Genomic DNA, 26,188 nt, shown 5'->3' on the forward strand with positions numbered 1-26,188 from the left:
GGTACAATAAAACCACAAACCCATAAATCAAGGACTGAAAAAAAAAAAGCAAACTAATCTCAAAGGAAACCTAATCTAAGGAAAGCTACTTTTAATTACACAAAGGTTTTACCTCTTTTTGCAGCAGCCTAGGCAAAAAAATAAAAGTGGATTATGGAGTCTTCATTATTCAAAGAAGCATACCAGAGAGACTTATTCCAAGCATTGAACAAAGCAGAACTCACTGAGACAGTCTAAGTAAAGATGTTAAATGATATAATGATTGGAACTGTCTTTTTAATTTTAAAAAACACAGAAATACTCTTCATACTTCCATTTCTCAAAATATAAATTATCAGTGAATGTGTCTCACACCACCACCCGGGCCATCTCTCTTCCTCACTACTCTGTAAGCTCCTTATGGGCAGAGTCCGCTTCTAGAACAGTGTATACTCTGCACCTAGAACAAAGCAGCCATTCACTAAATTTTGCTGAAAGGAAGAAAGAAAGGAAGAAGCAAGGGAGTATAGAAGGAGTGGGTCTTTGCTTACCCTATATTGACTCAAATGTTTCCTTTGCCAAACTTGACCATCTGTAATTCTAACCATACACTTATGTGGTTGACTGACAGCTTTTTTTTTCTTTTTTTCTTTTTTTGAGACACAGTCTTGCTCTGTCACCAGGCTATAGTGCAGTAGCACAATCTCGGCTCACTGCAACCTCTGACTCCCTGGTTCACGTGATTCTCCTGCCTCAGCCTCCCGAGTAGCTGGGATTACAGGTATGCATCACCACACCCAGCTAATTTTTGTATTTTTAGTAGAGACGGGGTTTCACCATGTTGGCCAGGATGGTCTCGATCTCTTGACCTCATGATCCTCCTGTCTTGGCCTCCCAAAGTGCTGGGATTGCAGGCATCAGTCACTGCGCCTGGCCCTTTTTTTTTTTTTTTTTAACCATCCCACATCCATCACCTTTTCCTCGGGAACGAACCACTGTATCCTTCGCTCTCAATTTAAGTGCTTGTGTAGACCTGACTCCACACCCAGCTGTAAGGAGAGGATGTATGACTCCAGTCTGACCAATCAGAGCATCGAATTCCCCTGGTGAAAGTCACTGGTTCAGGGAAGAGCACACAGTCCAGTCAGAAACCACAAGACTTAGCAGAACACTTGCTGGAGCTGCTGAGAAAGCCGCACATTTTCTACTGTTCTGGAACTGAGGAGGATGTGGCCTTGGTGCTATTGACATCCATTTTGCCACCATGTAGAGAGCTTGAGAATGAAGCCATCACAAAGCAGAGCAGAGCCGAGAGATGAAGACAGGCCAGGTCCCAAAGGCAGCATTACGATCCATGAATCCAGTTGTGCCTGAAGGAAACCAGACCTGTCCCTAGACTTGCCAGGTAGGTGAGGGAATACATTCTATTTCTGCTTAAATCATTTGAATCAGGATTTCTGTCACTGGCAATAGAAGCATACTAAGTGACACAGCCCTTTGTTTTGTTCAACTCCCTGACTAGCCTCTGACCATGTGCAGCACCAACCAGTAGGGGTTCAATATGTGTCTGTTGGATGATTAACAAATCAATAAATAAACTTCTCTAAAAGCAGGAAGTCTAAGATACTAAAAATAATATGTTATGGGTTTAGAAAACGGAAAGAGGACAGGACTGATATAAATACAAGGTCATGAGCATAGATGAGCCAGATCAAGGATCAAGAGCAGTTTCAACAGGATTGTTGTTCTGTAGATTTGGGTCACCACAGGTCAAGTCCCATTGGCTGAAACATAACATTCTGCATGTATGAAAAGACATATTTTCAGGAAACTCATGGATAAGAAAAATAAGTAAATGCATAGAAAAGATGTATTTAACTTGAGTAGTCTGAATTTGACTCCTGATCCAGTAAAACACCCCCGCCAAATATGGGCTAAGAACTTTGGCATCCTGGGTTGGTTTGTAGGTCAGAGATCACGGAGTTGAGGGTGACCCGAGAGAGCATATGAAGGTAAGACTGAAAGGCAGCTGAAGAGTCCAATTAAGGCTTCAATTTTAAGAGACTGGACAGAGAAGCAGAGTCCAACTCTAAGGCACTGGCCCAAACACAGACTTTCTGATAGCCTCTTGCTGATGGAGGTGAAGGCTGGAGAGAGGTCATGAACTGTAGGAACACAGCTGCAGGGAAAGCTTTATTGAGCTCCTGGGGCCATGGATGAAGGTAGAGAACTGGAGCCCACTGTCAAAGCTGGGCTGGCTCGGGTAGGTAGCCTACCTGGAGGTCAAGGGTTCTGTCAAAATCAATGCTTCTGTTTATAGGGTATTGGCTCCATTACGTAGACAGGTAAATGGGGAAATGAGGAAGGGAGAAAACACTGACATGTAGGAATTGTCAATAAAGAAAGAAAGAGAAGAAGCTTGGCTGTAAAGCTGAACAGGAAGCAAAGTCAGGAAAATGCTTTAAGAATGGTTAGACAAAGAAGAAGAAAACCACAAGGTCCCTTGCCTATCCCTAAAAGTGTGTCAAAGATGATGAAATGATCAATACCATTTCTTGCAGGTAGCAGAGCTACAAAGATAGAGACAGAGAAAAGATCTTCAGATTTGGTCAAGAGAAGAGTAATGGAAACCTCAGAGATGGCTATTTCAGTGAGTCATTGGACCAAAATACAGGGCAGGGGAAAAGTAAGCATGCTGTGGGAGAGGGGAGCTCAGGTGTCAGCTGGATGGGCCAAGCAGGGCTGGGGAAAGGGTTTACAGAATGGAATGAATGATCTACATGTGAACATAAACATCAGTGAGAACAAACTGATAGTGAAGGAGGAAATGACCACATAGAAAAGGGTAAGTTCTTTCAATACCAGGAGAAAATAGTAAGTATTCAGAGTATTTGGTTCATGAGGTTGGTTTGGGAAAAGTTGTACTGAGAATATGATAAAAGATAAAAATAGTGGCATAGAAAGTTTGCCCCTCTTTTAAATATTAACTTTTCATCTCAGTGTGAAAAATACAGAGAAGCACAAAAAAGAACACAATCCTTTTAATCTCACCAATCTTAACATTTTGGTGTATTCTCTTCTAACTTACGTCTTTGTATATATTTATACTCTAATATATGTTCATATATGCATATTTGCAATTGTGAGAGCTTATACATAATATTAGTAAAGTTAGTTATATTTGTTTTTAAAATACTTTTTAAAAACTCACGGTTTTTAATGACTGCATATATTTAATCCTATGGAGATCTCATAACTCATTAACCATTCTCTTGTTAATGGAAATGGTTATTGTTGGAAATTTAGGCTGACTCCTTTTTTGTTATTCTAAATCATATTGTTATGAACATCTTTGTGTATAAATCTGTGATCCCTAAAGTTTAATTTTGCGTTAAACTATATACCAGAGTTCTTGCTGAGTGAGAGGTTGGAAGAAGTAGCTTTCAGGATTTAAGGAAGTTGTGGAAAGTTTAATACAACAATTATTATGGATCAGGAATGGACCATGTGGTCTTTTTTTTTCTTTGTTTTGTTCCTGTCTAGAATTTGTTTAAGCAATTTCCCAGAGTATGAGCTGTGGTTGCAGGCAAAGCCCCTTTCTCACAGCAGAAGTGAGATACTCCTTTCTAGGCCTCCTTACAGCTAGTAGATGGGCCAGTGACTTGCCCAGCTATTTCTGCCTAGATCTGACCAGGAGCTAGTGCTACAGAGGGGCAGGGCTGGAGGAGACTCTGTTCTGGTAGCAAAGGTACTGCTGGCAGGGGTCCAGCATCCAGTGCCAGTGGTGCCAGCTGCAGCGTTCACTGTCCAGCAACAGTAGCAGCAGCATCTCCTGAAACCAGCTCTGTGGCCATAGAATTTCATTCATGGTTCTGGCTGCTCAGTTCCCACTTTGTCCCTCTATATTTTCTAAGCCTACTTAATTGACATTGCTGGTAATTCCAAGAGTTCTCAATAGCCTTCACTAAATCCTTTTTCTGTTTCAATCAGCCAGAGTAGATTTCTATAGTTTGCTATCAAGAACCCTAACTAGATGGGAGGAACAAAGATTTGAGAGCAGCAAATGTAGAGACAGAGGGGGCCAGATCACATCAGAGCAGTCACAGGATTTCCTCAGACAGGGCTAAAAGCACTGGACCATGGGCATAGGAGTCAGACAGGGCAAAACATGGATGGCGACTGCACAGCAAAAAGAGGCTGGGAGAGTGCTCCAGGGTACGGAAAGGATAAGCAAAAGGACTTATCTAAGACAGGAGGGCAAAAGCAGTGGGACAAAAGCCTCAGGCAACTAGAAAGAGAAGAATCTGAGAGTAATCAAGGGAGTAAAGAAGAAAATGCAGTTAGAGTCAGGTGGTATATAACATGCAGAGGTTACAGTCAGGGGACAGGAAGGCCGGGCTGAAGCCTGGGAAAGGCAGTTGCTGAATGTCAGCGATCAGTGGAGGTGGACAGCAGGAAGGAAAAGGATGTGCAGCAGATGGGGATGACGTATTTGCTTGGCTCACATGATGGTACATTGTATTTCTTCTTTTTTATGTTTATTTAATCATCTGAGGAGTAACAGTTAAACAGAAACATCAAAATATCAAGAACAACATTAAATCACCAAATAAATTCTAAACCCTCGAATCCCTGACTATCTATGAACCCAAGGTCTCTTACAATTCTATTGGTAACAGAATTTTCAGAGATGTCATCATTGTGTATACAGCATTTTGGGGTCTACTTTTCCACGTATACAACTACATCCATTCCATGTTTCTACATAGGCACAATTGTGCCACTGCGTGAACGTACTACAGTCATCTAGCCACTTGCCGATTTCTCTTTACCCAGAATAGCTTTCATCTTCTTTTAAACCATACCAAAAAGGTAAGCAAGTTATAAATTGTTTTCATTTAGGCTAATGCACTAATGTTTTAAGGATACTGAATTTATTGGCTCATCCTCAAATATTAGTTACTTGCATTTTGCTTGGTGACAACTCAAAAAAACTTTCCAATTTAATCAAAAAAATAACTGAGAAGAACAGTAAACTTCGGTTCTGTAGGATCTTGCCCAGTTGATAAGTTCCCTCTAACTTGCTCTATCGATTATTCTGGTCTGGTCAGAATATTCCTGCTTGTTGTGCATTGACATAATTCATCAAGAGGCTGAATAACATGGTGCTTATGCACCAAGGCTTTGCAATCATGCAGACCCTGGTTGGCTGCTTAACAGCAATGTGACCTGGGACAGTTTACTTACCCATGCTATGTCTCAGTTTCCCCTGTCATGAATTCATTCGTTCAACAAATATTTTATTGAGCAAAGATAATATGACAGGTATTGTTCTGAGCATTAGGGATTTATTAGTGAACAAAAGTCCTTGCCCTTGTAAGGTTTACATTCCAGTGAGTAGGCAGAAAATAATAGATATGTAGTCATGTGTTGCTTAACAATGGGGATACTTTCTGAGAAATGCATTATTAGGTGATTTCACTGTGTGTGCACATCACACGGTATACTTATAAAAATCTGGATGTTACACCTACGCTAAATTGTATAGCCTACTACTTCTCCTAGACCACAAACCTGCACAGCATGCTACTATACTGAATACTGTAGGCAACTATAACACATGGTTAAATATTTGTAGATCTAAACACATCTAAACATAGAGAAAGTAGAGTAAAAATACTGTATGAAAGACAGAAAATGGGACACCTGTATAGGGGACTTATCATGAATGGAGCTTGTAGGAATGGAAGTTGCTCTAGGTGAGTCAGTGAGTGGTGAGTGAGTGTGAAGGCCCAGGACATTCCTGTACACTATGGTAGAATTTATGAACACTGTACACTTAGCCCACACTAAGTTTATGAAAACATTTTTGTTCTTTCTTCAATAATAAATTAACTTTAGCTTACTGTAACTTTTTTTACTTTATAAACTTTTAAATTTTTGAAAAAACTTTGATTTTTGTAGAAATATTTAGTTTAAAACACACATTGTACAGGTGAACAAAAAGATTTTTTATATCTTTTTTTTTAACTTTTAAGCCTTTTTGTTAAAAACTAAGACACAGACGCACACATTACCCTAGGCCTACACAGCATCAGAATCATCAATATCACTGTCTTCCACCTCCACATCTTGTCCCACTGAAAGGTCTTCAGGGCCACTAACACGCATGGAGCTGTCATCTCCTATGAGAACAATGCCTTCTTCTGGAATACCTCCTGAAGGACCTGCCTGAAGTTGTTTTACAGTTAATCTTTTTTTTTTAAATAAGTAGAAAGAGTACACTATAAAATAATGATACAAAGTATAGTATAGTAAATAAGCCAGTAATATAGTTATTTATTATCAAGTATTATGCACTGTACATAATTATATGTGCTATACTTTTACATGACTGGCAGTGCAGTAGGCTTGTTTACCCGTGCTACATTAGGACATCTATGATGTCACCAGGTGATCGGAATTTTTCAGCTCTATTATAATCTTACGGGATCACTATTGTTTGTCTGTCATTGACTGAAAAGCAGGATAAGGAAATGGGGTGATATAGAAGACAAAGACTTTCCTGAGGAGGTGACTTACTTACAAGCAAGTATCTGATGAATTGGTAGGGTATTCTGGGCAGAATCAGATACTGATAAGAGCAAGAGGCAGTAAAGAGGATGACGAATGAAGATTTTGTGGACTGACTCGAAGTTACTGAGGACCAATGGAAGAGGAGGGTTGAAGAGGAGGGGGAGCTTGAGACAGATTATAGCTAAATAGAAATGTTATACCAGGGTGAAACTGTATCTCAGGGTTCTGAACTTCTTGTAGTGAATAACCTAAACAAAGATGCAGGGCAAGACAGAATTGGTCCTGCCAGTTCTTAGTGGGAGGTGGAGAGTCAGTTCTAACATATTCTCTTCTTGGGAATTGGTAGCGGTGAAGTGGAGAATGTTAGGGATGGGGAATGCTAACCAAACCAGAAGCAAATGTAACACAGGGGAAATGCTATCTGCTGGGGAGATTAAATAAGATAACACATGAAAGCATTTAACACAGTGCTTGCTCCACGGTAATGTGTCAATAAATGGTAGCTATTATTATCCATCAAAGAATAAAGTAGTATACTTGTGGCATTTTTCAAACTTTAAGGGTACTGTGTGGAACAAAGGCCAGAGCCTTATGAAACACATAGACTATGTGGGCTATGCTAATCTTGTCCTCAAGTCCTGTTACTCTGTCACAGGCATAGCATTGACCTGGCATGACTTAGCCTACCCTTCAGGGCATACCAGATAACAATAACCCAGCCATCCACTTTGGTCTCTTTGTCTTCCAGTCTTATATATCACTTGGAGTAGACTGGGCAGGGCAAAAATTGAGGAAGGGTCACAGAAAATAGTGCTCTTGGTAATCAGGCTTCTTCTATCTTTTTATATAAATATATATATTATAATATATTTATATATTTATATATATCAGGCTCCTTCTATCTTTATATAAATATATATTTTAAATCTTATTTATATTTATATATAGATATTTAAGTATTTATATTTAAATATTTAAAAATATTAAATATAATTATATATTTTTATATCTTTACATATTTATATACATTTATATAATATATAAAGATATTTGTAATTTATATATATTTATACATGTATAAAGATAGAAGAAGCCTGATTACCAAGGGCAGTATTTTCTGGACTTCCACCAACGGTGGATGCCTAAAGGATTCCTGAGCTTCCCCTACTCAGGATCTGCAGTGACCCTGTAGTATACTTCTCAGACCATGGCCAAATGGCCTTGAAGGTCTGTAGCCATAACATGGTGAACAAGTCTGATGACACGATGAATAAGCCTGAGCTTGTCCATTTCAAAACAAGAGTTGTCAATTTTGCCCTCGTACTAGACTTCCCAGCCTACTTGCGAGCATGCTGATTTTTGGGGTTTGGGCTAAGCTATAAGCAGTGCAGACATCCAGACATCAGGCTCCAAAATCCCCTCTACAACTTAGGGATGCACAGCTTTGGTTTCAGTGCATGTCAGTAGCATCCTACAGACCCAACGTGCTACACAGTCTGCACGTTCCATGCATGTTCATGGCTGCTTCCCTGACTGTAACTGCAGGGAAGACAAAAGAGCTCAGAGGTTGTCAATGCCACACTAGGTTGGTATTTCATTTTCTTGCCCTGATGTTCCATCACGAAAAACAAATACATAAATAAAGACCTAAACATTTTTTTGGTTGGAATGGTCAGGCCATGCCTGCTTAGCATCGTCACTACAGATCTTTATCAGGCTAACCAAACATTGTTTTCCCAACCTTCCTGGCTGCTCCTACTTTCAGTTGAGGAAACCGAATCTTTTAGTTTTCCTGTTCTCTGGACCAAGGTGATGATTTCCTGGCTTCTTGATCTTTTTTTGTTTTCATTGTGTTTTCAACTCTGAAATGTTTTCACAGAGGGTTTTAAACCCTACTAACCCAGTATTTTTTCCTTTTGTTTTCTCCACACCCTGAAGTAAGTGGCTTCTCAAAAGCACAGACAGCTAGAGCTAGATGAAGCCTCAGGGAATAATTTAGGTCAATCCCTTTCCTTCAGCTTGAGGAGTAAGGGAAACACACTGACATTTTCTGGGAAACTGCCACTTGCGAGGTATAGAGTCTACATGTGGCATTTTGCAAAATTACCTCATTTAAACCTTAGAATAGCTCTGAGAGGTAGATGTTCTGTCTTCCTGTTTTAGACAAGGAAGCTATGGTACAGAGAAATTAACTGGTCTATGTGAGATCATACAGTTAGCTAGTGACATAGCTGAGACTCAAACCCAAGCTTTTTGAAGATTAGGCCAGGGTTCTCCTCTCTACCATACTGGCCTGGCTGAGGCCTGCCAACTAGGTCCAGCTTTTGTTAGAAGTGGGCTTAAGGCAAGAGGGTTCTAAGAAAGGTTATGACACAGGGAATTTAATTAAAGGTTAAATTCTGGCATTTGTTATTAACATTTTATATAGCTTTAATAGAGATATCAGTAGCAGACTATAACATGCTATTATTACAGTAATATGGATTAGGAAAGGTTTTCAGCAGAGAAAATGGTGAAATGGTTAACATTTTCACAAGAAAAGGGAGTATTCGTCCTAAACAGGAAGAACTGGCTTGAATTCAAAGTGATTATATAACTCCTGACTTCAATCATGGCACTCTCTTAAGTAGGTAAGTGATATTTTTCCTGTGACACTTCCTTAATTTTTGTACACGTACCTATGTATTAAATTTCTATCTTGCTGAACTGAAAACTGGTCAACAGTGTTCTTTATTTTATGTGCAGACTATTTTTGCAGTATAAAAAATAAGCTTAAGAATTTTTATAGAAGATGATCTGATTCATTAATTCTGAGTCAAAGGATATGTAAGAACACTTCTCTATGAGATTCTGTGCATGTGTGTGTGTTTATGTGTGAGAGAGAGATACAGATATACAGAAAGAGACAGACACATTCATATATTCAAAGATAATGAAACAGAGGCAAGGAGGTAGAATATGACAAGTTGAGATCCTAAAGTTGCTGTACTCTTGGTGTGCTTAAAGAACGTGGTATTTTGGGCAAGGCGCAGTGGCTCAGGCCTGTAATCCCAGCACTTCGGGAGGCCGAGGCAGGCAGATCACTTGAGGTCAGGGGTTTGAGACCAGCCTGGCCAACATGGTAAAACTCCGTCTCTACTAAAAATACAAAAATTAGCTGAGCGTGGTGGCACGTGCCTGTAATCCCAGCTACTCAGGAGGCTGAGGCAAGACAACTGCTTGGACCTGGCGGGGCAGAGGATGCAGTGAGCTGAGATCGTGCCATTGCACTCCAGCCTGGGTGACAGAATGAGATTCTGTCTCAAAAAATGTATATATTTTGGAGCCAAGTTTGGATTCCACACATTGACTAAGCAGTCAAGGTCTGCCAATAAAAACGTCCTTCACTGTCAGTGCATTCAGGCTTTCAAAGGTTGTTTCCTTTAATTGTCCATCACACATTTCCCAAAATCCTAGCAGTGATGCATCTCACCCATCAGTAACTTACAGAAGCTGAATGACACTGCTTTGTTGAAATTAGGAGGTTTTTGGAGGGTTTTAAAAACTGACTTCAAGTTTAGCTGCGTTACATTAAGACTGCTTGACTGCACTAATGACGCTTTCCTACTGCACATGCAAAAGACAAGAGCATTGGTAGGACTTCAGGAAAGCAATGAGTTTATCCCAGTTCTATTCAGAGAGGATCCCACTGAAAGCAAGTAGAGGAGTGACTCTATGCTAGTGTTTCTCACACTTTCACGTCACATTCATCAGGGGTACTTAACAGAAATGTAGATTCTTTCTAAATCAGAATCCCTGGGTCTAGGCACCAGGAATATACATTTTAAACAAGCTCTCAGGTGATTCTGGTGCACACTGGAGATTGGGGACCTCTGCTCTACACTATAGGAACAGGGCTGGCTATGTCCAAGCATGGTACCCCTACTTTCAGTCAACCTGGCAGAAGGGGTCTGTGTGTGTTAAAGAGGAAAAGCAGTGGGAAGAAGGAGATGTGGGCACTGGTGATCCATCAAAGGCCAATCTCTCTCATCCTGCTCAATACCACTTTAGGGGCAAGCAGCCCTGCTGAACCCATCTGGGAGGGGCTTTTCAGTGAGCCTGAGGTTTCCCATAGCAGAGAGAACTGCCAGATATTGGAGAACTCAGCCAGAATGCCCTTCCATGTGATGGTTAGGTGTTCGGAGTCATCTCTTAGAAGGCAAGTATCCCTGGGTGGAGTTCTATCCAAAGGACTAGAAGTTAGTTCCCTAATAATCTGTTAACACTTTATTTTTATTTTTATTTTTTTGAGATGGAGTTTTACTCTTGTCACCCAGGCTGGAATGCAGTGGCACAATCTCGGCTCACTGCAACCTCCGCCTCCCATGTTCAAGCGATTCTCCTGCCTCAGCCTCTTGAGTAGCTGGGATTACAGGTGCCCACCACCATGCCCAGCTCATTTTTGTATTTTTAGTAGAGACAGGGTTTCACCGTTGTTGGCCAGGCTGGTATCGAATTCCTGACCTCAGGTGATCCACCCGCCTTGGCATCCCAAAGTGCTGGTATTATAGGTGTAAGCCACCGCACCCAGCTGTTAACATTTTAAAAAAGGGTAGTTGAGAGCATCCAGAGAATATGGACAGGATATAAGGAAGACACCCAAAAGTGGAAAAACAGAAAGACATTAATAGGGAGGTGGCGGGTGGCAAAGCACCATATCCCCTGCCACTTAAGGTCATCTTGCCTGCCAAGGTGTCCCATTCCATCCCTGCTAAAAGGGCATGTGAGAAATGGTTTGCTGCAGGTGCTTCACATTACAACCTGGGTCTTTGGGGAGGTGAGGGCACAATAAGTAGGGCCTCATTGGTGGGGCTCAGTCTGTCAGTAGCACCAGAGTGGACCCTCTCCCAGAGTAGTCTTAAAGGCAGGGGCAGCAAGTTTTAATCCAGCAGTTGATCTGGGAGACAACTTGCCTGACTAAAAGCCGAATCTTGTTAAGGAAGAGATTCTCAACCACTATGGTGATAATATTAAACCTCTGAGTTTTCTAATTCAAATATGAAGCCCCTGTTTATTGAAACAGTTTCTGCCTAATTGCAAACAAGATGGGGTATTTGAGGCACTGATGGTCCAGGGAAGGGATAGCTGTGAAAGCATGGGCTCTGGAGCCTGACTGCCTGGGATTGCATCCTGGCTCTACCACTTCCTGCCTGTGTGACCGTGGGGGAATCATTTCACCTCTCTGTACTTCAGTTGCCTCATCTGTAATATGTGGATTTGAGTAGTGCTTCCCTTATGGGGTTTTAGCGAGGATTAAGTGAAGTAAGATCTGCAAAGAACTTAGATCCTAGCACGTCTTATATTTGCTGCTTTTTTTATTTTTAGTTTCTCCGTACAGGGCTGCCTCACAATAAATACCAAAAGGTGTGTCTTGTAACTGAAGCGGGGAGGAGAATCTTTGTGGCATCTGTATGATTGATGTTCTTTCAAGATCGACAGTGGCTCTTTTGACTGCATTACAGTCTTCTCTCCTCCTCCAAATCCCACTGAGGGTATGGCTGGGCCACAGTCCAGGCATCTCCTGTTGGGGCAACAGGTTCTCAGGTTCTCATTGAAGAGCCTTTTAAGGGGAAAAGAGGTGGTGGTGGCAGAATAAACCCCTATTTTGTGCAGTTCAGCTAACAGGGAAAGTAATGCACACCAAGTTATTTACTGGTAGGGCTTCTCAGGGTAACATTTAAAATAAAATTCTGTTGGAGAATGTAGACAGTCTATTCTAGGGCATAAAAATGGAATTATCTTAACCAGGATTAAACCGCACTTCCTGAGTCTGACGGAGCGTTTCCAGGGAGAGTAAGTGCCATGTAGCCTTCTATGCCAGTTGTCCATTGTTGTTCCTGACTCCCACCTCCACTGGCTGTCTAACCCCATTCAGCCTTCCCTGCTGGCCCACTATGGTGTAAGTCTTTGAAACAGAGAGCTGGGTCTGAAAACAAAACCAGGCTCCCTTTGGTTGGGGGAAGTGCTGGCAATGGGAAGATATGAAAGAAAACTGGATAGAGGGACACTAACTTTAAATGTGATGTTAATTATAAGCAAGTGTGCTAAAATCCATGTTAAAATTCTAATAACTACCACCAGCTTATCACTGTGTGTTGTCTCATCTATATGACTTTATTAAAAAATATATTTATGAATTAAATAGTTACAACCTGAGCAGAAGGGCAGCACAGTATAACAATAAAGTACAGATGCTGTAGTCTCAGGCTGTCTGGGTTTGAATCCTGTCTGCCACTTGGCCTTCAGACTTTGGGTAAGCCAATTTTCTTTCTAATGCCTCAGTTTTCTTATTCACAAAATGAGGATAGACATGGCAGGTAACTAACTCATAGGGTTACTGTGAGGATTAAATACGTATAAGGTATTATAGTGGTACTGGCATTTTACCTGGCAGTTGGGCTTGGGAAGATGAGTAAGCCATCAGAGAGCTTACAATCAAGAAATGGTATTGTATTCAGCCCCTATCGCATGCTTTGTACAAAGCAGGTACACACAAAAAAATCTCATGGGAAGCCTGCAGAAATTACTCATACATTGTTAGGTGTCTAGAGGTGCTGGCAAGTTTAATATCACAAAATCTCTCAGAACAAACACAGGTTTTATATAATACCTGTACAAATATGAACAAAACTTTTGAAACATGTCATTAGTTAAAAACTCCATGCTCCAGTCCTGAGAGTCTTTAAAAACTATGAAACATCCTTATAAAAAGCAGACTACAAAGAGAGAGCTTGTCCCAGAGGTCAAATTCCCTCCATTCAGGCAATTTAAGGCAAAAGAAAAATGCAATTTAAATCCCTCCACCCCCACCAAAAAAGACATAGTCCACAAAGTTAAAAAAAAAAAAAAAAGTCCTCTAGCTAAGTATCCAATTAAATATTTTCAGTAGACCCATTTTTTTTTTTTTTTTTTTTTTTGGAAAACCTGAAATGAGGCTTCAAGTGCTTATCTGAATGGTTAGACGTAATTATGAGGCAGGAGTATCTATAACATCCTGGCATTCTTGAAAGCATGCAGCCCCCAAATGTCCCCAACACACCAACTTACTCCTTTTCCACTCTTCCTTTTCCCTCCTCTCTCACTCTGTCTTCAGTCAGTGAAAGGCAAATCTCTGTGTTATCCCATTCCTTGCAATTTTAACCTGCCAGGGGATTCCCTCTCCAGCTCCCTCCTGAGGGACTGGTCCAGTTCTCTTACTGGCCAAGTCCATCTCTCCTTTGGCTCCAGCTGTCTTTCCCACGCTGGATTCCTCATGGAAACCTTCTTATCCTGCTGGGAAAGGACCTCTGGCAGCACTGCCATTTACAATCTTATTATTTTAACTTTAGGAAACAGCTCTCCTACTATGATACATTTCTCTCTTTTCCTTTTCTCGCCCAAATCCTGCTAATTTTACTCAGAAAGCCTCTCAAATCTGGGCCTTGCTCTTGATCTCCACCATCCCTGCCTGGCGCAGGCCATCTCTCCTCCCACCTGGTTCCCACAACCCTCCCACCCACATTCCCAGCCCCAACCCCTCCTGCTCCATTTCACTCTTTACAGTGCTGCTACATGCCTTTTTCCTAAAATGCAAATCTAGTTTATGTCATCACTTATCGTCAATGGCTTCTTCCTGCCTTCAAAATAAAGTCCAAATATCCTGGATTAAAAGTTCCTTCCTAAACTCACTGCCTATACTGTTATTCTTCATTATTGTGGTTTGAAGGCTCACCTGAATTATTTTCTACGGTAATAGAGAAGCTGCATAATATTGTTCCAGTTACTAAAACAACAATAAATGTGAGGAATCAAGAAATATATTTCTGGCCAGGCGCAGTGGCTCATGCTTGTAATACCAGCACTTTGGGAGGGCAAGGTGGGAAGATCACTTGAGCCCAGGAGTTCAAGATCAGCCTGGGCAACAGGGTGAGATCTTGTCTCCATAAAAAATAAAAAAAAAATTAGCTGGGTGGCATGCACCTGTGGTCTCAGCTACACTCAGGAGGCTGAGGCAGGAGGATTACTTGGGCCTGAGAGGCAGAAGTTGCAGTGAGCTGTGTTCATGGCACTATACTCCAGCCTGCGTAACAGAGCAAGACCCTGTCCTAAAAAAAAAAAAAAAAAAAAAAAAGAAATATATTTCCTGTTGGTAGCCATGCATTTGGTGATCATTTAGGTACAACCAGTTGTGCACTTCTAAAGCAGACTTAATTGTTCCAAATGCTTTCTTTGTTCAAATTAATCAGTTCTGTAATACATAAACCAGGATTAGCAAAGATTTGGCCAGTGTGAGTTAATTCAACCTATGCTTACTGGAAATCAAAAGCTTTAGGACCAATATGCCACACTAAAAAAAAAAAAAAAAAAAAAAAGGAATGAAGAAAGAGAAAATCACCAAATTGAAGGTTCAGAAAGAGAAGAAGAAGAGAGGGCACAAAGACACATACCTACCGAATGACCAATTCCACCTCAGGCTGCGCCTGATCAAAAAATGGCAGTTAACACACACTCATATTCTTTGTAAAGAATTTGTAATTTCATTTTAGTCTCCACAGCCACAATAGGAGGTAGCTATGATTATCCATATTTTAAGGTGAGAAAACAGGCTTGCAATATTTATTTTGCTTACCATGGTAATCACTGGTTAAATACAATGCTTAAGGTTAGGGGGTAATACTCAACCCTCCTGTTTCCGTGGAGGGAAGGGAATTTCCAAGCCCCAGGTGGGAAGAGTACAGTCTCTTCTTTTCAGCCTTCTCAGTCTATCCTTCCCTAAGGAGAAAGAGCAGCTTGCCTGATCAGTGAGTTTAGGAGGACAGATTGAGGATGCTCAGCCAGCCCCCATGGGTTTTTTCACTTTTTAAATTCTTTTCAGCTTGTCGGTTGTCAACATGTGACCATGCTCTACACCCCGACTGGTGTGCTGGATAGGGAAAAACAGAGGCAGGCCTGCTGTCTAATTTAGGAGAGAAGTATTAGTAAACCTAGGGTGGCTGCATATATAAGCATCTTCCAACATGGCTTTTATTGTTGATAAAGTGAATAATTTGATTTCTATGGCTTCTTTTTTTAATTTTTAATTTTAAAGACAGAGTCTCACTCTGTAGTCCAGGCTGGAGTGCAGTGGTGCCATCTCTGCTCACTGCAACCTCCGCCTCCCGGGCTCGAGCAATTCTCGTGTCTCAGCCTCCCGAGTAGCTGGGATTACAGGTGTGCACCACCATGTCTGGCTAATTTTTGTATTTTTAGTAGAGATGGGGTTCCACCATGTTGGCTTGGCTGATCTCGAACTCCTGACCTCAAGTGATCCACCCGCCTTGGCCTCCCAAAGTGCTGGGATTATAGGTGTGAGCCACCAAACCCAGCCGTTTCTATGTCTTATTTCTCAACTGGTTATGAATATAAGTGGAGAAGACAGAGGGCTATTAACTAGCTTCCTAAAAGCCAAATACAAGGCATAAATATAGGCATTCAATTAAATGAATGAATGAATTTGTCCAAGGCCACATAGCTAATAAACTATAGAGTAGAGACCTGAATCTGTGTCTGACAGAAAGGCATGATTTTCTAAACTTCCACTTTGGTGCTTCTCATATGATGTTCTATTTCCAGGCTTAAATTCATGCTTCAATATGGTTGCCAGGAAACTGGAAACACTGGTTGTTGCAGGCACAAAGTACCTTAAAGACAGAGGTATGCCTAAGAATGTTGCTGATAATCTATTTTTCTACAACAGTGATGAGGGATGAGTTCAGCAATGACTGCTTGTTGTCAGCTATCTCATGGGCCAATATTGATAAAGCCCTGTAAGTACCTGGGGGGGGGAACCTGGAAGGTGGGGAGAAGTAGCGCAAGCGGCCCCAGCAGCAGCATGGAACAGATCAGGGAGGAGAAAGACAGGCAGCCTCGCCTTAAGTTGGATGAGCACAAGAGGGGTGGGGCAAGGGACTGAGGACCAGGGGAAGGAGGCTGAGCGGGTTGGGGATGGGGAGAAGGCAGGGGAAGGAGGATGAACATAAAAACGCCAGGACAGCAAAAGCCTGAAGAGAAAAATATGTCCAAACAAAAAATATAAAGGGGAGACAGATAAAAGAACAGGAGTAAATCACATGCTACGAAAACAGCCACAAACGGATTTTCCATTTCATGTCAAAATGATGAAAAGTGAGAGCTGGCCTGTGTGCCAGTAGCCTTCAGAAACTCAGAAATAAAATATCCCATTTGAAAATAGTTTGGGGAGCCAGTAGATGACAAGATTCCTCCTGCAGGCAAAAGTGAATTAAAGCAACGATAGTATCTACTGCTCCTTCCCCACTCCCACTGTTTGGCTGGCAAGCACATGTGAGCTCAGCAGGACTCTGTAATTGCTTTTTAAGAGTATCCGGTAGAACTCAAGATTGTGTGTTCACAAACTCCATATAAAAACAGGGTCATCTTTGCCTTCCACGAAGTGTTTTTCACCCTGTTTCAAGGCCCAGCTTAGTCTTTTTTCCCCTTACTAAAGTGGCAAACAAAGAATTCTCTGACACACTGCACCCACTGCAGATGAAAGCACTTAAGTGTGAGTGAAAGCAACAATGTTGAGAGTGACATTTACTAGCTGAAAACAGTGAAATCAGAGCGTTCCAGTTCACGGAGATTAAATGTCAGGCTTTAAACATTTAGCAGAGTATTAACTATGGAAGTTTTAAAGTTTAGGATTCGGTTTTATATTGCAAACAGCACTTAAAGCAAGGAAACAAGTGGTCCATAGGCTGAATAAACATATTTATTTTCAATTGAAAGTGAATGAACTGCAGGGCAGTTACTGAGCTCAGTGCAACAATACCAGAGGTGCTCACTGTCCTTCACCATCCCAGATTAATAAGAGAAGGGTGACATTCCTCACACTTCATGTTTTGGAAGATACAAGTCAAAGTCCAAAACACAGGGGTTTGCAGGCACATAATATTCCACAGTGGTTGTGGACTTTAAAAGTTCAAGAGTTGTTATATTATTGTTCTAGAACGAATGCCCTCATTCTTTTTTTTTTTTTTTTTGAGACAGGGTCTTGCTTTACTGCCCGGGCTGGAGTACGGTGGCACCATAATGACTCACCACAGCCTTGACCTCCTGGGGTCAAGTGAGCCTCCTGCCTCCACCTCCTGAGTAGCTGAGACTACAGTGTGTGTCATCATGCCTGGCTAATTTTTTAAAAATTTTTAAATATTTTGTAGAGATGAGGTCTTGCTATGTTGCCTAGGGTGGTCTTGAACTCTTGGCCTCAAACAATCCTCCTGCCTCGGCCCCTCAAAGTGTTGGGATTATAGGGATGAGCCACCATGCCCAACCTGAATGCCTTTTAATGCACCAAAAAAGTTAGAGAGGAAAATATAGCACTTTTGTTTTCTTTTAAGATTATTTTCCATGGATAAATTTATGACAAAATTAGCTATAATTTCTAAATATAACATCCATTTTTTGATTCAATCACAAAACCTCAGAATTTGATATCAGCAGTCCTTTCATTCAAAGTCAGCTAGTAAGTATCTTTTCTATTATGCTTACTATGAGGTGTTGGATAGATACAAAGCCAGTGATAATGGATATTTCAAACTTTGTTTTAAACATCTTGTAAGCATTGTATTCAATTCCCAATATCTTTATGAGGTGGCCACGATTATCCTCATTTTACAGATAAGAAACCTGGGGCTTTGAAAGATTAAGGACTTTGCCCAAGACCAGAGGACTACTAAATTATGTAGAACTGAAACTCCAGCCGCTGACTCCAAAGCATGGGTAATTAACTTTTTTTTTTTTTTTTTTTTTTTTGAGACAGCGTCTCGCTCTATCACCCAGGATGGAGTGCAGTGACACGATCTTGGCTCACTGCAACCTCTGCCTCCTGGCTTCACGTGATTCTCATGACTCAGCCTCCTCAGTAGCTGGGAGTACAGGTGCCTGCCACCATACCTGGCTAATTTTCGTATTTTTAGCAGAGACAAAGTTTTGCCATTTTGGCCAGGATGGTCTCGAACTCCTGACCTCAGGTGATCTGCCGGCCTTGGTCTCCCAAAATGCTGGGATTACAGGTGTGAGCCACTGTGCCTGGCCCAGAGTCTCGCTCTATTGCCCAGGCTACAGTGCAGTGGTGCAATCTCGGCTCACTGAAAGCTCTGCCTCCTGGGTTCATGCCATTCTCCTGCCTCAGCCTCCCGAGTAGCTGGGACTACAAGCGCCAGCCACCACGCCTGGCTAATTTTTTCTGTATTTTTAGTAGAGATGGGGTTTCACCGCATTAGCCAGGATGGTCTCCATCTCCTGACCTCGTGATCTACCTGCCTCCCAACGTGCTGGGATTACAGGCATGAGCCACCGCGCCTGCCCCCGCCCCCGCCTTTTTATTTTTATTTTTTGAGACAGAATCTCGCTCTGTTGCCCAGGCTGGAGTGCAGTAGCATGATCTCAACTCACTGCAACCTCCACCTCATGTGTTCAAGCAATTCTCCTGCCTCAGCCTCCTGAGTAGCTGGGATTACAGGTGCATGCCACCATGCCTGGCTAATTTTTGTAATTTTAGTGGAGACTGGGTTTCACCATGTTGGCAGGAACTCTCCATCTAGCAGTGACCACAGAGATGTGAACAAATACAGTTTAACTCAAGCAATGCCACAAGAAGAATATGAAGAGAGAGACACACAGAGTAATTCTGATCTTGGAAGACCTCACAGAGGAAAAGACATTGAAGCCAGGTCTTGATGCATGAGGATAAGTCTTTCAGGCGAAAAAGGCAATCGTTACTCTAGAAATAAGGAACTGCATGTACCAAAATTTAGAGGGCTTGACACATCCATGGAATGTTCAGAGTTCAGTGTGTATTTGAAGATGGGGAGCCTGGAAGCAGAGACACAGGCAGTTACAACAGCCAGGTGAACATGAAAAGGGAGGCAGGAGCAAGGTAATGAAGGAGGCCAGAGTCAGGACATGTTTCTAAGCCAGAAACGAAATGGTCTATGACCTACTGGTCACAGGCAGTGAGAGAGAAGAATCCATAGTTGCTGGATTTGTATAATGTTATATCATTTAGGCCTCAAAATTAAGGAAGTAAGACAGATTGGGAGTGGGGACAGGGATCAGAAAGATGGTATCTTAGTTCAATTTGGAAAAACTGAGTTTGAGATACTTGGGAAGCAGTTAAGCATCCTCTTTACTGCATTCTTTACTTGAAGAAACATTGAGTATCTCTTGTATCAAGTAAAAAGAAAATTAAAAGAGGAACAAAACTGGACCCCGTCCTCCTAGAGTTCACTGTATAGTCTGGTTCTTCATGGAGCAGTAGATAAGGGGAGCTTACAGGGGGATTTGTGTTTGTTATGGTGACTAAGGGGTGCTAGTTGCACTTATTGGACAGGTGCCAGGGATATGGACATTCTGCAATACTTGGGACTGTCTTACATCCCTCTTGACTTTCAAATGTCCCATTGGACATCTACGTAGTGAAAATCTGTTTAGAACTGTTTGAGCCTAAAACCTAACTCTGTTTCATATAGAAAGGCAAAATTTTTTTTGCAGGTTTTATACTGAATTGTCCTAAATAGAACCTCCATGGAAACTGAGGGAAGACTGTACTTGGTTTGTTTGGAACTTTACAAAAGCTGTTCACCATTTTAAAAAATTACATCATGGGCAACAAAGCTGCTCACAGGTTTTGAGTTATCAATACGATGAACCCGGACTGGTCTGAATTGTAGCTGTCCTACTCATGGTAATTCTATATTCAGAATCTATGCACTTGATTATGCCTCCTGGTTTGTCATGCCTGGGTATGTACATATTGCAAAACACGTAATTTGATTACAAATTCCTTTCCTTTTATTTTTTCCTTTTTATTAAAATTAGAGCATTTTATTACACTTTTGGAATTATATATAGGTAGGTTCCATTAACTATGACTTTCATTTTAGGATAGGAAAAGGCATGATATAAAAAGGATTACAATAGGTTTGAGAATCACTAGTGAGAGATGGACATATATAAATTGAATTGAATACAAAGGAATCCATGGAAACACTTCAGAGAGGTAAAAAGTAAAAGGGAGAACCAGGAAGAGAGATTATTGGCCATAGGAGATCTGGGAAGACTCATGGAGGAAGTATGAAATGAGCAGGTGCTGACTGATATCCTCCGTTAGAATAACTCCAGAAATGTGGGGCTTAGTACCCACCTTAGAACCTGCCTCCAGTGAGGCCCAGTCATTCTGGCATGGCTTTGTTATCAATTTCTTTTCCATGCTTTACCCGTATCTTCCCGACAAAGGTCTTTGTTCTGGAAGGCTCCAATGGGCAGAGCATGATGAATCCCTAACCTCTGTGGTGTCTCTTCTGGAATCTGAAAACTGTGGTCTCTGTAATACTTTCTGGTTAATCTCCTCTTCTTTAGGCTAAATCTCCCCACTTCCTCCAACTGTTTCTTATATAACTCGGTTTCATATTTCCTCACCATCTGGATCATTTTCCTCTGAACATGCTGCAATTTGTCAATGGCCCTTTAAAAGTGTGATGCCTAGAACCGAATGTGGCTTCCAGAGCTGAAATATATAACTGTATTTCCTAATATTTCCAAAAGGCAAAAATGTTATCCCTCTGCACAGGCAGTGAGATCAGGACAGAGGAGGGGGGTGGGGATGGTCTGTCTTAACAATCACCGTACTGCCAGTATTGAAAAATTTCCTTTTTTGTTTGAGCAAGTTCTATATGAATTTTTAATACTTGCAAGTAGACTTCTGATCTCAAAGAGGGGTTTTCCCCCTTTGTTCGTTTTTGTTGTGAGGTATAAATGAAAAAATGTAGGTCTGGCTAACAAATACTAACAATTATTTTTATTTGCTGATAGCATCCATCTACCAGCATCCTATGGTCATTTCCCGTCTGAAGACATTTTTCCCTTAACAGACTGTGCCCTGCCCATGTCCCAAGTCATCTAACCAAGACTGGCGGGAACACCACCCTTTCCAGGGGCTTGGTCTATAAATGGAATTAGTATTGCTGCCTTAAGCTTGAATCTGGTATGTATCTGGAAAACCTCTGCATTCCTGCACGTCTAGTGAACCTCGGCTTTAGCCCCAAAATGCAAAGTTCCATCAAGGCCCCTGATTTTTCATCCCATTTTGGTCTGAGACTGAAATCCTGCAGCAACTTGACTGGCTATTGCCAACATGTTGTCTACACAAGCTAAAACAGTACCAGTTTATCTCATTCTAGATGCTAGGGGCCCCATAAACCACAGCAATACCACCCACTGGTTTGAACTTATGGAAACTATAGCAGACCTCTGCATAAGGAAGCCAATCTGACATGAATACTAGCTTGCTATCCTCCTTGAATGCAATGACTTCAAGAAGTGGGAGACAGGTTAGCCATGGAAGTCTAAGCACTTTATGTTATATCTGCCAGCTGCCCAAGTTTCAACATGCCTTTACAGCTGAACAGACCAGTTCCAAGGTAAACTAAATGAGAGCAGGCATATTTGTCTGTTTTGTTAGCTGATGTATCCCTCACCCTTAGAATAGTGCCAAGCACATGAGAGGTGCTCAACAAACCTTAGTGGAATTAACTAATAAAATGATCTGGTATGCTAGACATCTATTTTTGTTTTTCTCAGTATTTCTTTCTTCTGAGAATCGCTTCTTTCCCATTCCATGTTATTCTGGTGGAGCTGTCAGCCATGAAACAGAACAAGCTAACAAATGGTGTCATGAGTCTAGGGGCTCACGGAAATACAAGTCCCTAACTCCTAGATTCCCCACAGTAAGCAGGTATCTGTAGTGCTTCCTACTTCTAGAGAATTTGAGGCATACAATCAGGAACAGTGATGAATGTGGGTGGTACATGCTGCAGGTAGATTTATTCAGAGGCTAAATTTTATGTGAACACTTATCACAAAATCCAAGCCAACAGGGTAAAATAAACCTCTAGTGAGATAAGCTTATGTTTCTATTACTGACTTTCATAACTAATCAAATACAAATATCAGAAATTAAATTATTCAAATAAATTTAAGATGAAACTTTTTCAAATTTCTGTTAGATGAAATACAATTTTTATAAGGTTAGCTTTAGTATGATAATACTATTTAGAAAAATAGGTTTTTCAGAAAAAATGTAATCTGTAGAATAAAAAAACCCTATATATTGGATTTAAATGATCCAGTAAGTGGGTAGCAGGAGAGCTATGGTTGTATAAGGATTTTTAAAAATTGTGGTAAAATATATATAAAATTTACCCTCTTAACCACTTTCTACATGTACAATTCAGTGATGGTAAGCACATTTACAAGGTTGTAATTGTGCTATCCATTTCTAGAACATTTTTGTGATTACAAACAGATACCGTGTATCCCTTAACCAATAATTTCCCATTTCCCCCCTTCTTCAGCCCCTGGTAATGTCTATTCTGCTTTCTGTCTCTGTGAATTTGTCTATTCTGGCTACCCCAAAGAAGTGGACTCAGACAGTATTAGTCCTTTTGTGCTGGCTTATTACCATGATGTTTTCAGGGTTCATCCATGTTGTGGCATGTATCAGAATTGCATTTTTTATGGCTGATTAATATTCCATTGTGTATATATACTACATTTTGTTTCTCCACATCTGTTGATGGACACTTGTTTCTACCTTTTGACTTGTGAATAATGCTGCTATGAATACTGGTGTACAAGTATCTGTTTGAGTCTCTGCTTTCAGTTCTTTTGAGTATATGCCTAGGAGTAAATTTGCTGGATCATATGGTAATTTTTTTATTTTTATATTTATAAAATATTATATATTTTATTTATAATCATGTTTTATTTTTTGAGGAATTTGCAAAAGGTTTTTTAAAATGACTTACAAGACAAAAATTTATTAATTTAGGAACCATACATTGTGAAAATTTTTACTCTTCACTATTTCACTTATCATTATTAAAGATGGAGTGATTACTATAGTAAGTAGAGCAGAGAATATATCATTTCCTTGTAGTGAAGGAAGGAGGAATTTCCAAGCAACACAAAGAAGTCACAATAATTGTGTTGTGCTGAAATGGATTTTGACCAGTCACCAGGGTTTTGACAAACACAAAATACACTCTTATAAAACCCAAAGTTCCATTCAGAAATAGAGAAAGAATAAATCCCATTATTTGATCATACAATTGTATTCTCTGTATGCAAAATAATTGATCAGTATTCATCAAACATGTAACAGTCATGAAAGATAAGGCAAGACTGAGGAACTATCACAGGTTGGAGGAGACTAAGGAGATCTAACAACTAAATATAATGTGGATTCTGGATTGGATGTGGAACAGAAAAAGAACAATGGTGGAAAGACTGGTAATAAAGTCTGTAATTTAGTTAATAGTATTATACCAGCATTAATATCTTGGCTTTGATAACTGTACCTATGATTATATAATATGTTAACATTAGTGGGAGCTGAGTAAAAAGCACATAAGAATTCTCTACTATTTTTGCAACTTTTGTGTAAGTTTAACATGATTTCAAAATTAAAAGCTAAGAGGAATTATAGTTTCTAGACTTTAACAGGCATTTGAAATTATTAACCCAAATAATTACAGATAGCAATGATAAATTTGGGGTTTTAACTATGATCCATGAATGAGCCTCCAACATTCACAGAGGAAAAAATATTAGACTTTTTATAGTTAGTGCCTCTAATAAACAATTCTCTCATGTCCCCTCATTGTCATACTGGTCCTGTGTTTCTTCCTCCTAGATCCATCCTCCCAAACCTTTCAACTTTATCTTCTGGAACAAACTTTACATAAGAAAGCTCCTCCTAACATTTATAGCTTCTCAAATAATTTTCCTCTTCAACTATTGCCAAATCAATGTTTATAGCTCAGATTGCTCTCTGAGTTCTGACAGTACATCCAATGGACATCCCTACTTCCAAATGCAGCTGAAGTTTGACTCATTTGCCCAAGTTAGAAACATAGGACTCAGCCTAGATTTGTCCTCAACCACCTCCATTCTCTGCTCCCAAGTATCTTAGTCTGTTTTGTAGTATAAAATCCAATATATTACACTCACTAAAGTATAAAGCTGAAATTCAGCCATCTTTATCATTGATATAGACACAATCAAGTTGTCTATCAATGATAAAGATAAAACCTCACTTTGGCTTAAATGGCAAAAGAGATTGTAGAAATTGGTTATAGGTGAATTCAGGAAATTTTTGATGGTGAAAATGCCCTTTATATTTTGTATTAAAAAAGAAAGAAGCTATAAGCTATTGTATACTGATATTTCTATCAGCCATGTGCCTACTCATTTGTGTATTACGGATTTAGAAAATACCACAAAAATGAATTAGTTCCTTTTGCCATTCCTAAATTCTACAAAGAAAAGATAGTTCTTGACTAGAAGAGGAAAAAAAAGCCAGAATATCATTCCATATTTAGTAAAAAGTTCTAAAGATTTGGAAGATAAAATTCCAATTCTAACAGAGCATAGCAGAAATAAGAACAACCAAAGTTCTTCATTATACAAATAAAGATATTGAATAAAGTCAGAAGAAACCATCCTGACCATATATTTAGAATACTGTGTGTTGACCTGGCCTCACTATAATCAGAAAGTCAACTCAAGAAAAGAATGATAAATAGGAAGGCATCTAGATTAGCCTAGAAACCTGAAGATCCCAATTACTTCCTGCTATGGACTGAATATCTGTGACCTTCCAAAATTCATCCTTGAAATCCTCACCTCCACGGTGATGATATTAGCAGATGGGCTTTTGGGAGATGATTAGGTCATAAGGGTGGGACCCTCATGGAATAGGAGTAGTGCCTTATAAAAGAGACCCTAGAATGTTCCCTCATCCCTTCTACCATTTAAGAGTACAGTGAGAAGACCACTGTCTATGAACCAGAGAGTGGACTCTCACCAGACATCAAATGGGATGACGCCTTAACTGTGGACTTCCCAGACTCCAGGACTGTGAGAAATAAATTTCTTTCTTTCTTTTTTTTTTTTTGAGACAGAGTCTCACTCTGTCGCCCAGGCTGGAGTATAGTGGTGTGATCTCAGCTCACTGCAAGCTCCACCTCCTGGGTTCACGCCATTCTCCTGCCTCAGCCTCCTGAGTAGCTGGGACTACAGGCGCCCGCCACAGCACCTGGCTAATTTTTCTTGTATTTTTAGTAGAGATGGGGTTTCACCGTGGCCTCGATCTCCTGACCTTGTGATCTGCCCACCTCGGCCTCCCAAAGTGCTGGGATTACAGGTGTGAGCCGCCGTGCCCAGCCGAAAAATAAATTTCTATTGTTAATAAGCACCCAGTTTATGATACTGTGTTATAGCAGCCTGCAGAGACTTCCATATAGAACAGGATTAAGATTCATTATTCTTTATTATTAGAATCTAAAAACTATATGTGACTAAGTGTTTTAATTTGTATTTTTAATGACTTAAAGTGATGAAAAGTTGATATGGCTTGGCTATGTCCCCACCCAAATCTCATCTTGAATTGTAGCTCCTATAATTCCCATGTGTTGTGGGAGGGACCCAGTGGGAGATAACTGAATCAAGGGGGTGGTTTCCCCCATATTGTTCTCGTGGTAGTAAGTCTCACAAG

General features: G+C 40.5%; 1 protein-coding gene and 1 long non-coding RNA gene across 5 annotated transcripts in view, besides 1 other annotated feature; one reads left to right on the forward strand and one right to left on the reverse strand.

The window, feature by feature from the left end:
• The window catches only part of ALG14 (ALG14 UDP-N-acetylglucosaminyltransferase subunit), a 98,547-nt gene that overhangs the window by 11,451 nt on the left and 60,908 nt on the right, over positions 1–26,188 (reverse strand). The gene's annotated exons all lie outside the window — the stretch shown is intronic.
• On the forward strand, positions 7,636–23,146 carry LOC124904224 (uncharacterized). The gene is made up of 3 exons (XR_007066235.1): positions 7,636–9,185; positions 16,186–18,351; positions 20,125–23,146. It is a non-coding gene; the product is annotated as an uncharacterized LOC124904224 (long non-coding RNA).
• Positions 18,409–18,558: an enhancer, noted in NCBI's record as "active region_1351". NCBI's record gives its function as "activates an Ori minimal core promoter by ATAC-STARR-seq in GM12878 lymphoblastoid cells {active_cell/tissue: GM12878}" and the evidence as "EXISTENCE:reporter gene assay evidence [ECO:0000049][PMID:35858748]".

Source organism: Homo sapiens, chromosome 1 (genome assembly GCF_000001405.40).
Source record: "Homo sapiens chromosome 1, GRCh38.p14 Primary Assembly".
Classification (NCBI taxonomy): Eukaryota; Metazoa; Chordata; class Mammalia; order Primates; family Hominidae; genus Homo; species Homo sapiens.